Source organism: Homo sapiens, chromosome 16 (assembly GCF_000001405.40).
Source record: "Homo sapiens chromosome 16, GRCh38.p14 Primary Assembly".
In the NCBI taxonomy this organism is placed as follows: domain Eukaryota; kingdom Metazoa; phylum Chordata; class Mammalia; order Primates; family Hominidae; genus Homo; species Homo sapiens.
The window spans coordinates 31,526,441-31,540,451 of record NC_000016.10 but is presented as its reverse complement, the minus strand read 5'-3'; the positions used below and the strand labels follow the sequence as shown (position 1 = coordinate 31,540,451).

General features: G+C 47.9%; 1 protein-coding gene across 3 annotated transcripts, besides 1 other annotated feature; it reads right to left on the bottom strand.

Annotated features, from left to right (window-relative positions):
* Window positions 632–1,831: an enhancer, noted in NCBI's record as "MED14-independent group 3 enhancer chr16:31549942-31551141 (GRCh37/hg19 assembly coordinates)". NCBI's record gives its function as "activates an origin of replication core promoter dependent on BRD2, BRD4, P300/CBP and CDK7 cofactors, and independent of MED14, by STARR-seq in HCT116 cells {active_cell/tissue: HCT116}" and the evidence as "EXISTENCE:reporter gene assay evidence [ECO:0000049][PMID:35650434]".
* Window positions 11,649–12,552, bottom strand: AHSP (alpha hemoglobin stabilizing protein). Of its 3 annotated transcripts, none has more exons than NM_016633.4 (3): window positions 12,490–12,552; window positions 12,238–12,316; window positions 11,649–11,994 (listed from the first exon to the last, which is right to left on the bottom strand). In NM_016633.4, the coding sequence occupies exons 2-3, from the start codon at window positions 12,310–12,312 to the stop codon at window positions 11,761–11,763; spliced, it is 309 nt and encodes a 102-aa protein (NP_057717.1). In that variant the 5' UTR covers window positions 12,313–12,316; window positions 12,490–12,552; the 3' UTR covers window positions 11,649–11,760. The 3 variants fall into 3 exon arrangements, with proteins under 3 accessions (NP_057717.1, NP_001305150.1, NP_001305151.1); NM_001318221.2 differs by having other exon boundaries at window positions 12,238–12,312; NM_001318222.2 differs by lacking the exon at window positions 12,490–12,552 and adding an exon at window positions 12,438–12,475.

Below are 14,011 nucleotides of genomic sequence, written 5' to 3'. Positions count from 1 at the left end.
TTCATTATACTTTCCTTCCTCCTCATCATGAGTGTTCCAAGGTGGAACAAACCAGAGCCCACACTTGTCCCATTGTTACTCTGATGCTTCCAAGCTCCCCTTCTTACTCACCATGGGGATTGCTTAAGAGTACTCGGGTGTCCTCCAACTTAGTTCCACGTTCTCCAACCCTCACTCCGGTGATCCTTCAACCTGGGTTCGAGTCCCCACATTGGGTGCCACTTGCCAATACCAGCTTGGTCAGGGAGACCCTAACCCAGCAGCGCTAGAGGAATTAAAGACACACACCCAGAAATATAGCATGTGGAGTAGGAAATCAGGGGTCTTACTCCTTCAGAGCTGAGAGCCCTGAACAGAGAGTTACCCAAATATTTATTGACAGCAAGCCAGTGATAAGCATTGTTTCTATAGATTATAGATTAACTAAAAGTATTCCATACGGGAAATAAAGGGATGGGCCGAAACAAAGGGATGGGCTCTGGCTAGTTATCTGCAGCAGGAACATGTCCTTAAGGCACAGATCGCTCATGCCATTGTTTGTGGTTTAGGAATGCTTTTAAGCAGTTTTCCACCCTGGGTGGACCAGGTGTTCCTTGCCCTCATTCCGGTAAACCCACAACCTTCAGCATAGGTGTCACAGCCATCACAAACATGTCACAGTGCTGCAGAAATTTTGTTTATGGCCACTTTTGGGGCCAGTTTATGGCCAGATTTGGGGGCCTATCCTCAGCAGTTAAACAATTATGTAAAGTTCACAAAGTATAGAGGAAGTTCCAAGAAAGTGCCAGAGCCAGAGCTACTCCTAGAGTATGCTTTGGGGCTGCTGTCTCATCCTCAGGGTGTCCCCAAATCCTCCAGCCTGGATGCTGCCTCCAGGGTCCACCCTTGTGGGAGTTCCTACTGAGACCTCCCTCACCAGAGCCCAGAAAGAGCCAAGCCAAGCTCAGCCGGCAGTGGCTGCTCACCCCGGATGATCTGTCTGCTCTGCCATCAGTTACACCACTGCTGCCTACTCTCAGCCAACTCCACCCTACAAAGAGACATGGGCGGCACATGCCCGATCATGCCTTTGGTAACAACCCCCCTGCATCTCACCTGTCTCCAGGTCCCCACATCCCTTGAAGCTTGGTTTCCTTGATCAGGATTAGGGGTTTTCAGTATGGCAGGGACTCCTGATAGTCACAGAATGGCATCTATGAGGCCAAACCATGTCTGAATTAACACTCCATATACCCACGTACTGGCCATGTGGTTTGGCAACTTTGTGAGCCTCCGTTTCCAAGTGAGTAATATCCCTGTAATTAAAAGTTCTCACAACTTAAAGTTCTTGTTAATTGTCCATGTCAAGATTACAGGCTAAATTACGGTTCTATTCAGCTGACCATGAGATGAGGAGATCATCCTTGACTATCCTGGTAGGTGCAGCAAAATCACAAGGGTCCTTAGAAGTGAAAGGATGCAGGAGAGAGTTGGCCTGATGTGATGTGAGAAAGACTGGACCTGGTGGTCATTGCTGGCTTTCGAGCTGGAAAGGGACCAGGAGTGAAAGAATGTGGGTTCTTCTATAGACTAGAAGAGGAAAGAAAAAGAACTCTTTTCCAGAGACTCCAAGGGGGACACAGCCTAGAGGACAACTTAATTTTAGCCTAGTGAGTCTCATTTCAGATTTCCGATCTCTAAGTCCATAAGATCATAAATTTGTTTATTTATTTATTTTGAGACAAGGTCTTGCTCTATCGCCCAGGCTGGAGTGCAGTGGTGTGATCTCGGCTAACTGCAACCTCCGCCTCCCAAGTTCAAACGACTTTCCCACCTCCCCCTCCAGAGTAGGTGGGACTACAGGCACCCACCACCACACCTGACTAATTTTTGTATTTTTAGTACAGATGGGGTTTCACCATGTTGGCCAGGCTGGTCTTGAACTCCCGGCCTCAGGTGATCTGCCTGCCGCTGCCTCCCAAAGTGCTGGGATTACAGGCGTGAGCCATCCGCCCAGACCATAAGATAATAAATTAATGATGTTTTAAGCCGCCAAGTTTGTGGTCATTTGTAATGACAGTCATGGGAAACCACCTCACAGATATGGAAAGATGTTCACCTTCACTTACCATGAAAGTCATGGAAAAAAATAGATCATCGTTTTTTTCTTTTTTGCCTACTAGGTTAGCATTAAAGAATTTTAAAAACGAATTAAAAAAAAACTTAATATCCTTGAGCCAGTCAGTGGAAAAAAATGATACCATGGTTCCTTACTGGAGAAAGAAAAAAAAATTAGCTCAAACACTTAAGGTGGTAATTTGGAAATACACATAACTATTTTACATGGACTTGTCCTCTGACTCAATATGCTAATGGCTAGAAATGTACAGTCCTCTATTTCCCAAAGTCTGCCAAACAACATGTACAGAATTTTTTTAAAGCAGCTTTATTGAGGTAAAATGGAATACCAATAACCGCATATATTCAACGTGCAAAATGTGATGAAGTTGAATACCTCCTGAAGCCATCACCAGAATCAACAGCGTGACCTTCCCATGACCCCCAGCGGTGTCCTCAGGCTCTGGAATCGGAATCTCCTTAATTTGCATCGGGCGGTTGGGGGTGTGCGGACCTCCCAGGAAGCTCAGCCCCGGGAACCCAGGAAGGGAGGGCAGCGCGCCGCGATCCCCGCTGGGCGGCAATGGAGGAGCGGGGGTCTGGGCGGATCCGAGCCAGCGCGGCCCCGGGGCGCGTCCCAGTTAGTGCAGCGCCGGTGCGGCCGGCGGCTGCGGGCTGGACGTGTCTGTCGCCAGTTCCTCCTGCGGGAACTTGGGGGCGGCTGGGCAAGGGGTGGCTCCACGGGAGGCCGGTCCCAGGTGAGCTGCGGCCGGAGCTCCTGGGGCACCCGGGGCTGTCCGGGGACGGGGCCTGGGCCGTGGGGACCTCATGACCTCCGCGGGGAAACGCCGGGGGCGCGGCCTGGGCCCGGCTGCTCCTGGGCTCTGGCCAGGGAGTCGCGGAGTGGGAACTGAGAGGCGCCGGCCCTGGTGACAGCGTCCTGGCTGCAGGACTTTGGGGCGATGGGCTCTGGGGGCGCCCTGGGGCGCGGCCCGGGGCATGCTGGAGTTCCCACAGATCAGTTAAAGGGCGGCCGGGAGGCATCGAGGTCGGTGAATTGTACAGTACACTTAAATTGTCACCTAACGTCACGTCTTGGCTCCTTTGCTCTCAAATGGATACCCCCCCCCCCACACACACACACACACACATACCCTTGTTTTTCTTATACAGGAGTGTGCTTCTGAGGCGGAAGTGTTCGCAGCTTTGCTTTGGCAAACCTTTTGAACCTGACCTTCCTAGTGGGATTGGACTCACATCTAGGAACAGAAAACGAGGCCTAGGAGGCCGCGCTTCCGTCCAGGAGCGGCCCCGCAGCCCCCACCTTGCCTTGGGTGGGCAGCCTTTGCGCAGCCTTGGGAGCCTGGAAAGGCCACAGCCAGAGGACAGGACCGCAGCCCAGGAACGCGCTCCTCCTGCTCTCAAATCCTGGGACTTCGCCTACCCATTGCAATCTTGACATCGTTGTATTTTACCAACTAGATTTTTGAAACTTGTTTTTGGACTTCAAAGGGTTTTTTTAATCAAACCAAAAATTTTTAAATAGATTTGATAAAAATCTTGTGATGGAAAATGACGTGATAATTCTCAACCCTAATGGACTTCTGGCTGTGTTTAGAAGAGGATGTGGGCACCTGAGTCCTTCCTGGCCAGGCTCACTAACCGCTCAGGACTGCAGGCAACAAGGGAAGAAAGCCATACACTTGGCTCCCGGCTCCCTTTAGAAAAATGACATTGAGAAGCAAAGTCCTCCTCCTTGTAGATTTTGAGGCTCAGATGTTATTACTATTATTATTATTATTATTATTATTGATATGGAGCCTCTCTCTGGGCTCACTGCAACCTCTGCCTCCTGTGCTCAAGCAATACTTTTGCCTCAGCCTCCTGAGTAACTGGGATTATAGGCACAAGCCACCACGCCCAGCTAATTTTTGTATTTTTAGTAGAGACAGGTTTTCACCATGTTGATCAGGCTGGTCTCGAATTCCTGACCTCAAATGATCCACATGCCTCCGCTTCCCAAAGTGCTGGGATTACAGATGTGAGCTACCATGCACGGCGAGGCTCAGATTTTAATAACAGAATTTCCATGGCTGGATGATATCACACAGGACTTACTTTTAAACTTTGTTGGAAAAAAATTAATATGAGTCCTATAAGTAAAACAGAGCCCTAGAGGAGCAGGTCCACACTCTTGGTGTTTTGGCTCTGGAGTATGACGGTTCCTACCAATGATAGCTACACAGACGTTTGAAGGTTTTGCCTTCTTTTAGGTAAACTCAAGGAAGATGATCTGTAAACGATCAGTGTCACATTTCTACTTCTTTAGTGGAACTTAGGCAGATAGCGGTGGGAGCTCCAGGAGAGAATTTCACGTGATTATTTATACTCCTCTTATCTAAATCACCCCACTACCTTCTGGAGGCACCACAGCAGCCTCTCTACTGGTTCCCTGATGCTATCTGCATCTACAATCTGTTTCCTTATTGTAGCCAGAGCGGTTTTTTTTTAACATGATATTTCGTTGTTTAGAACTGTTCCGCAGTTTTTGTTGATGAATAAATTCCAACATATCCTGGCGTTAGAATAGCTTAACACTTAGGAGTGGGGAGTGGGGGGCTTAGAAATCAGAGCATCTGAGCAGATCCCACGTTCACTGAGCTGTGTGAGAAGTCACGTTACTTCTCATTGTTTGCCTCTTCAGTTTGTCTAACTAAAAAAAAAAAAAGAAAAAAAAAACAGGAAAATCACGAATTTCCCAATCCATTTCTTTCTTTTTTTCTTTTCTTTTCTTTTTTTTTTTTGTTTTGTTTTGTTTTGTTTTAAGATGCCCAAGCTGAAGTGCAGTGATGCTTGGTCACCCAGGCTGGAGTGTAGTGGTGCAATCTCAGCTCACGGCTCCAACCTCCGCCTCAGGGGTTCCAGTGATTCTCCTGCCTCAGTCTCCTGAGTAGCCGGGATTTAAAACACCCACCAATACACCCAGCTAATTTTTGTATTTTTAGTAGACACGGGGTTTCACCATGTTCGCCAGGCTGGTCTTGAACTCCTGACCTCAGGTGATCCCCCGCCTCGTTCTCTCAAAGTGCTGGGATAACAGGCAGAGCAACCACGCCCAGCTATTGATACATTTCTTAATACAAGCTCCTGGTTCTGCTGTTTTGATATATTAAATATCCAGCAATAAATTTCTAGGTTCATAAATCTACAAAAATAAAATTAAACCTATTGCTGAAGACAAATTTTGTATTGCAGTTTTATGAGCTTTGATTCCTTCTCCACTTGCAGGTAAATGCTATTTAGTGGCAGGAAGACATTTCGCTTCTGTAAAAGGTATTAGAAACAATATAGCAGTAATAGAATTTATAACTACAAAACTATGCGCTCTTAAGATTGAAAATGCAAGCACATCTCTCCCAAAACATTTGTAATGAATAATGTGTCAACAAAAAGTATACAGTCATTATAGTCAACTCAATTTATACACTAAAGTCTTTTTTTGTTTGTTTTTGGGGGTTTTTTTGAGACGGAGTTTTGCTCTTGTTGCCCAGCCTGGAGTGCAAAGACACAATCTCAGCTCACTGCAACCTCCACCTCCTGGGTTCAAGCGATTCTCCTGCCTCAGCCTCCCAAGTGGCTGGGATTACAGGTGCCTGCAACCAAGCCTGGCTAATTTTTGTTTTTGTTTTTTTTTTAATAGAGACAGGGTTTCACCATGTTAGCCAGGCTGGTCTTGAACTCCTGACCTCAGATGATCCACCTGCCTCAGCCTCCCAAAGTGCTGGGATTACAGGCATGAGCCACCGTGCCCAGCCTAATTTATACACTAAAGTCTTTTATATTTTAATTTTGGCCACTAACTCCATTATGTGACATTCCTGTTTGTTTTGTTTTGTTTATGGTATCAGTAAAAACTCTTAAGTTGTAAGAGGGAAGAAAGTGTAAAAAAAAAAATTCATGAAAAATGTAATTAATTCTCATGAGTGCACAAACTCTGGAGGCTACAATAGAAGTTTTATATGGAAAATCCAATCAATACAGTAATTTTCAAGGTTGGGAGAGGGGATGCTCATGGACAAATGGGCCTCTGACATCTACAGAATTTTTAATTTGGTTCATCTACCTTCAGAAAACCTTTCACAAAAACATGACATTTGCTATAGAAAGATCAAGTAGTTTATTCCCTCACACATACAAAAATAGGAAACTGAGGCTTACAGAAGCTAGATTACTTACCTTGAAAATATATATATACACATATATATATATTTTTTTTGAGCTGGAGTCTCGCTCCGTTTCCCAGGCTGGAATGCAGTGGCAGGATCACGGCTCACCGCAACCTCCGCCTCCCGGGTTCAAGCAATTCTCCTGCCTCAGCCTGCAGAGTAGCTGGGACTACAGGTGCGTGCCACCACACCCAGCTAATTTTTTTGTATTTTTACTAGAGACGGGGTTTTACTATGTTGGCCAGGATGGTCTCGATCTCCTGAACTGGTGATCCACCCGCCTCAGCCTCCCAAAGTGCTGAGATTACAGGTGTGAGCCACTGCGCCCAGCCAATTTTTGTATTTTTTGTAGAGACAGGGTTTCCCTGTGTTGCCCAGGCTGGTGTCTTAGAACTCCTGGACTCTTTAGCCCAGCATGGTGGTACGCACCTGCAGTCCCAGCTACTTGGGAGGCTGAGGCAGGAGAATCACTTGAGCCTGGGAGGCAGAGGCTGCAGTGAGCTGAGATTGCACGACTGCACCCCAGCCTGGGCAACAGAGCAAGACTCCATCTAAAAAAAAAAAAAATCCTGGGTTCAAGTGATCCTCCCACCTCAGCCTCCCATGTCACTGGGACCACAGGCACGCACCACCACACCTGGCTAATTTTTGTATTTTTTGTAGAGACAGGGTTTCTCTATGTTGCCCAGGCTGGTCTCTTAGGACTCTTGGACTCAAGTGATCCTCCCAACTTGGCCTCCCAGTGTACTGTAATTACAGGCATGAGCTACTGCATTATTAATATATAAATGCATCAAACAAATGTATCGGGGATTCCAGTGGATTCTAAGTGGACTTGGACATGTTGGGATGTGCCTGGAACACTAGTGGGCATGGGCCGCCCATCTGCATTTGCAGGAGAACTGAAAAATATCCAGAAGGCAAAACCCTTTAGGAGCTACAAGAAGCAGGCCCTAGAGGAGAGTAAGGCAAGTGAGGCATGCAGGACACAACATTTAAGGAGGCCTCACTCTCAGGAGCTGTCCCTGCACTTTCACGAGCCTGCGAGAGAGGGCTTCCTTAAATTTCCCACTGATTCCTCTTTTGTCTCACCAAGTCACAGCCCTGGTAAGAAGCCAGAAGTGGCTGGGCTTGGTGGCTTATGCCTGTAATCCCAACACTTTGGGAGGCTGAGGCAGGCGGATCACCTGAAGTCAGGAGTTTGAGACCAGCCTGGCCAACATGGTGAAACTCTTGTCTCTACTAAAAATACCAAAATTAGACAGGCATGGCGGTGGGTGCCTGTAATCCCAGCTACTTGGGATGCTGAGGCAGGAGAATCGCTTGAACCTGGGAGGCGGAGGCTGCAGTGAGCCGAGGTCGCACCACTGCACTCCAGCCTAGATGACAGAGCAAGACTCCGTCTCAAAAAAAAAAAAAAAAAAAAAAAAAAGAAGCCAGATGTGTCCAGCTTGTTCCAGTGGTCAGAATTGGGCACAGAGTTTTATCATAAGAACGTGTTGCAGCTACTAATAGGAGTAAAAAGAAAGAATTTACTACAATGATGTAGCAGACATTTGTAATGCAATGTGAATATTTTGTTGTACAGATGGGGGTGGGGTGTCTTGCTGTGTTGCCCAGGCTAGTCTCAAATGCCTGACCTCAAGTGATCCTCTCAACTCAGCCTCCCAAAGTGCCAGGACTACAGGTGTGAGCAAATTGCTGAGTCTTGATGAGGGTAAGGGTCATGTTCCAGGGTCAAAGTCCAGCTGAGAGTCATCGTGAGGATCAGAGTGGGGGTCAGTGTCAGAGTGAGGATAAGGAGTGTGAGGCAAACATTCAAAGCCTGGGTCAGGGCGAGGGTCAGAGTCAGTTTCAGGGTCAGAGTTCATCACAGAGTGAGAAAGACTTAGTGCCAGGGTCAGGCTGAGTGTGTAGTTCAGGCTCAGCATAAGTTTCAGATTCACAGCAGGTTCAAGGACATGGTGAAGGTATGGATAAGGGTCCTTATAGAGTCAGGGTGAGGTCAGGATCAAGGAGACCATAAGGGTCAAGTCAGGGTCAGTGGAAAGTAAGCAGCAGAGTCAGGGTCAGGTAAGGGTCAGATTTATGGTCATGATGAGGGTTATGGTGACATTAAGATTTCCAGGCCAGGGGAGGGTCAAGTTGAGTGCCACTGTAGGGTTAGCTTCAATGTTCGGTTGGGATTAAGGGTGATGCTAAAACTGAAGGCAAAAGTGAGGGTCCGGGTCAAGTACAGAATCAGGGTCAGGGTGAGAACGAGATAGAGTGTGTAAGTGACAGTCAGGATCAGGGTCTGGTGAGTGTCACAGTCAGATGCAAGGTGAGAGTGAGCACCAGGGTAAGGCTCAGGTGTGAAGGAGGGGGTGGTGTCAGAACGAGAGCAAGGTCAGAGTCAAGGTGAGAGTGTATGCTTCAGGGTCAAGAGTCATGGTTAAAGGCCAGGTGCAGTGGCTCACACCTGTAGTCCCAGTGCTTTGGGAGGCTAAGGTGGGAGGCTTGCTTGAGGCCAGGGGTTCAAGACCAGCATGGACAACATAGTGAGACCCCATCTCTACAAAAAATACAAAAAAAAATAGCCAGGCATAGTGGCATGCACCTGTGGTCCCAGCTACTCAGGAAGCTGAGGTAGGAGGATCGCTTGAGCTCTGGAGGTCAAAGTTGCTGTGAGCCATGCTGGCACCACTGCACTACAGCCTGGGTGACAGAGCAAGACCCTGCCTCTTTAAAAAAAAAAAAAGTCATAATTATGATCACTGTCTAGGTCAAGTTGAGGATCAAGGGTCAGGGTCATAGTGAGGGTCAGAGTCAACATCATGCTAAGGGAAGGGTCAGTGAAGGTCAATTTCAGGGTAAGGGTCAGGGTAGGATTCAGGTTGAGGGTCAGAGACAGGGTGAAAATTAGGATCAGGTAAAGTTTAGGGTCCAATTCAGCATCAGGATCAGTATAAGAATGAGAATGAGAGGCAATGTCAGTGTGAGAGTCAGGGTCATTGTGAGGGCAAGGTGTCCATTATGATCAGGGGCAAGATGAAGCTAGAGGTGAGGCTCAAGTTCAGGGTCAGCTCTAGGTCAGGTTCAATATGAGGGTGAGGATAAGGGCAGGGTTATGGCTATAATGTTTTACCATTTATTTACAATCTTATTTCTAGTATTAATTCAGATACTGCTAAGCAAAAGAAGGTTATTCTTACTAATTCTAATTTATTTTCCTTCAGGAACAGTAATGGATTTGGGGCACTCTCTGCTTTAGTTATTTTATTTTTATTATTATGAACCATCAGGTTCATATCACCGTCTCTGAAAAATCAAAATATCCCCAATTTTACTTCTTGTAGATTTATAACCAGTCACTTCGTTGATAGTAATATGAGAGCAGAAAGTGCAGGTAACAGATTTTTCTGTCTTAAAAATATTTTTTGCAGCTTCTCAATTGCACAAGCTTATGGAATGGTCGGAATGGAGTTTCAATGTTGAACTTCCCAGTGAGAATCTTTTCTACCTTACACCTGTAATTGGTCATTTTCCTTTGAGCACCTGAGAAGTGCTTAGCTCAGCAGCTCCCATAGCTGGATAGTTATAAAGGTATGGAAAATTCCTCTTCATGAATTGAGCCAAAGCGGCTTCTAACATTCTTTTCAGCTAAGCTGAAAGACAAATACAGTGGTCCCTCCGTATCTGTGGGTTCCGCATCTGTGGATTCAACCAACCAAGGATGGAAAATATTTGGGGAGAAAAATGGATGGTTGCCTCTGTACTGAACATGTACAGGCTTTTTTTCTTGTCGTTACTCCCTAAATAATACAGTGTAACAACTATTTGCACAGCATTGACGTTGTAGTCGGTATTGTAAGTAATCTAGCCATGATGTGAAGTCCACGAAGAGATGTGCGTGGGTTACATGCAAACATTTCGCCATTCTGCATAAGGCACCGGAGCGTTGTGCTGTGCGCTCTCCTAGCGTCCCCCACTCACTTTCCTCCACCCACACACACCAGGCCAGGTCTCTCTTGCAAAGGTGAGGCTGCCGACTACTGTCCCGCCTGAGCGGGCTCTGGTCCTCACTCACAGACTGAGATTTCCTGAGAGGTGCCGTGGAGAAGGCCCCAGACTCTGCCTGGACCACCGACCCCAACCCAGAGGAGCTCGCCGCCTGCTTCCCTGGGAGGCGCCACTCTCCCAAGCTGGATCTAGGGCCGACCACACCCCAGGGTTGGAAGCACCGCTGGGGACACTGAGCGGGTTCCCTTTCCACCCTGATCCAGGCTGCAGAGACCTACAAAACAACAGTCGGTTCACAAGTCCCAGAGGAAAGCTTGCTGGAGGTTGGAACGAGGAGCAATCCCTCTGGGCCCCAAACTTTTCCCGCGTTAGAGAGAACACCGAAAAGGTCCAGAACTGCGCCCTCCAGCTCCCCGCGCGCACCCTGAGCCGCGTCTGATTGCTGTGCGGCGCCTCCTAGCCGCGCCCCCGCCCCGCGCACCCCCGCCCCCGCTCAGCACCCCGGGAACCCCCTCCCCCCGCGCGCCCCCGCCCCGCGCACCCTCCCCCGGAGGGCCCTCCCCTCTGCGCGTGGAGGCTTTTCCTGGAGACTGCGCCGCGGGTCTAACACCTTCATTTCGTTTTTAAAAAGCTCTTGAGTCTGGCCCGTCCCTGGTTCCGCCCAGAGCCCTAAAATAGAGGCTTCGAGTCTGGAGGTCTGGGAGAAAGGGAGCTAGACCGGGAATTGATCTGAGAAGCTTGGGGTGGGGGGAAGGCGGATTCCTCTGCTTCCCAATCCTGGCATCTGCGCCCAGGGATGTTGGAGCCAAAGGGAAGTGGCTTCCCCTCCTGAAATATAAGGGGCGCGCTAAAGGGTTCCCAGGATCCCTTCCAACTCTAAATTCCTGCGATGCCTGGGGCTCCGGGGAGGTATTTTGCGGTAGTCAGAGTCCGAAGATCCTAGAATGTAGTTTGAGCTGGGGCTAAGGACAGGGGATTGAAAAGTCGAGGCGGTGGACCTGGCGCAGGATGAACAAGACTGGGAGACTTCCAACAGTTTCCTCCTCGACAAGCAGGTCACAGGACAATGTCTGGAGGACTTCTATCCCCCTTTCTTGTTTCTGCCACCCCCTCCCCTGCAGCTCTGCACTCTCTCTAGTCCCGCCTTCCTGGCCCTCGTTCAGCCTGTTTTAGTTTAGAATCGCTGCCCGGTGGTCACTCAAGGCTGCTAACCTCTGCTGTAAGGAATTAAGCTTCCAAGAGCATATCTAAGAAGGAGGGCGGAAGGAAAGGGACCGAGTGCCTCCACATGTCAGGACAGACCATGAAAGAGAAGCCAGGAAGTCCAACAAAACCAGCACTGGTCTTTATTGAGGTGTCAGGGTAGAGTGGCAGGAGCACAGCCTAAGGACATGAAGGTCAGAGTTTCTCAGAGAGGAGGGGCTGGGTCCCTGAGCTAGGAGGAGGGCGGTGGGTGACTCGGGAGCTCATGAGACTTCAGGAAGTCCCTGTACTTGGCCAGGAAAGGGTTGGCCAGAGTGTTCAGCTCTTGCCGAAGCTCCTGCAGAGCCTTGTCTCGCTCTTGGGGCTCCCCTGTCACCTGCTGCCTGTAATAGTTGATGTAGAAGTTCATCCAGTCCTCCACCACAGTCACCATGTCTTCTTCAGAGACGAGAGGATCATTGAAGACCTGGGGGGTTGCGGAGAGGCAGTTGGCAAGGGAGAATGTGGTCAGCAATGGGATTCGGGAATACTAGAATAGTGCCACAGCACCAACTCTCACATTCTCTTTCCTCTGCATTGTATCCCGTGTCTCTCGTTGTTTCCATCAACTCCACCATTACTTCACCAGCTCCAATTATCCTCTTCCTCCACTTCCCCGGCACCCCCCAGTCTCCAGGCCAGTCCTTTGAAATGGAAAGCTTGGACTCACCTGCTGATTCAGCAGAACGCTGAACTCCTTCAATCCTGCGGAAATGAGATCCTTATTGGCCTTAAGAAGAGCCATCTGCCTGGGTAGAGAAAAGGGTAGAATTTACATATCTGTTTCCCTCCTCACTGGGTATTTCCCCCAACCCACTTCCTCCCCTTAAAAATCCCTCCTGCCCTGCAGGGCTATCTCCTTTCCAAAACCTTTCACATCCTGCCCTGCTCTGAGGTCACGATTTTCCCAGGTTGGGCTCACCTTCAGGTCTAACAGGCTGTATATGTCTCACCCACACTCTTGAGGGTGCGTGAATCTCTCTGTGCCAAGCTATAGATGTAGGCAAGGAGTCAAGTGTCAGCCTAAGATAGAAACGCCCTGCATCTAGGTCCTGAAGGAGGGTGATAGGTCATTCTAGGGAGGAGAAGAAGGGAGAGGCTTCCCTGAAGGTAGAAAGATAACAAGGCCAAAAAAAAAAAAAAAAAAGATAAATGAGGAAACCCAGGAAATGCAAGAAGGCAAGAGCCAAACCAGGGGCATGTTCCTGCTTTTTGCCCCATATTTCAGTATCCAGGCTCGAAATGCTATGGAAATTGACGTTTACTGAGCCCTATTACATGACAGAGGCTTTTGTGTAATCACAACGATGTGATCGCAATGATTCTCCCAATTCGGAGATGATGTATTAATAGCAGCTTGCATTACATTTATTCATTTGTGCCAAGCACTGTTTCAAACATGTACAAAATATTTATCCTATAAAATTTCTTTTTAGACACATTTTGCAGATAAGCCACCTGTAAGCGTGTGGACTGAACTCCACCACGCTGTGCTCCATAAGAATGGAGATAAATAGCCGGGCGTGGTGGCGGGCACCTGTAGTCTCAGCTACTTGGGAGGCTGAGGCACGAAAATCGCTTGAACCCAGGAGGCAGAGGTTGCAGTGAGCCAAGATCACACCACAGCACTCCAGCCTGGGTGACAGGGCGAGACTCCATCTCAAAAGAAAAAAAAGAATGGAGATGGATTTGTCTTGTTTACTACCCTGTCAACAGGTACCCAATAAAGCAGAAATACTCTTTTTCCTCTTTTTAAATATTTTTCCAGATATTTTCCATTTTCAGTAGATGTTTCTCAAATTTCAAAATCACTATATACTAATTGAAATAATTAAAACAATACAAAAACGTACACTGAAAAACTGAATCATTTTTGCCCCCTCCAAAGTAACCAGCATTAAACATTGTATATTTCCTGTCACTTTTTTTTTCCATTCAAAACCCAACATTCATAGGTGCCTATACACTCATAAAGCTTTGTTGATTTGCCTTTTTGGTTGTAGCATTTTTTAATCAATATACAGCAAAACTGACTTCCTTTTGGTGTACAGTATATTAAATTTTTTTTTTTTGAGAGGGAGTCTCCCTCTGTGGCCCAGGCTGGAGTGCAGTGATGCGATCTCAGCTCACTGCAAACTTTACCTCCCAGGTTCAGGCGATTCTCCTGCCTCAGCCTCCCAAGTAGCTGGGATTACAGGCGTGCATCACCACGCCTAGCTAATTTTTGTATTTTAGTAGAGATGGGGTTTCACCATGTTGGCCAGGCTAGTCTCGAACTCCTGACCTCAAGTGATCGACCCACCTTGGCCTCCCAAAGTGCTGGGATTACAGGTGTGAGCTACCGCATCTGGCCTAGTTTATTAATTTTATAACAGATTTGTGTAACTACAAACGCAGTTAAGATACAGAATGTTTCTGTCACCCAAAAACCACTCCTTCACGTT

Bases quoted from the DNA above. Each gene is read 5' to 3' on its own strand.
- AHSP (NM_016633.4), bottom strand. From the start codon at position 12,312: ATGGCTCTTCTTAAGGCCAATAAGGATCTCATTTCCGCAGGATTGAAG. The intron at 11,995-12,237 runs GTGAGTCCAAGC...GCAACCCCCCAG, and splicing joins GCGTTCTGCTGAATCAGCAG to GTCTTCAATGATCCTCTCGT.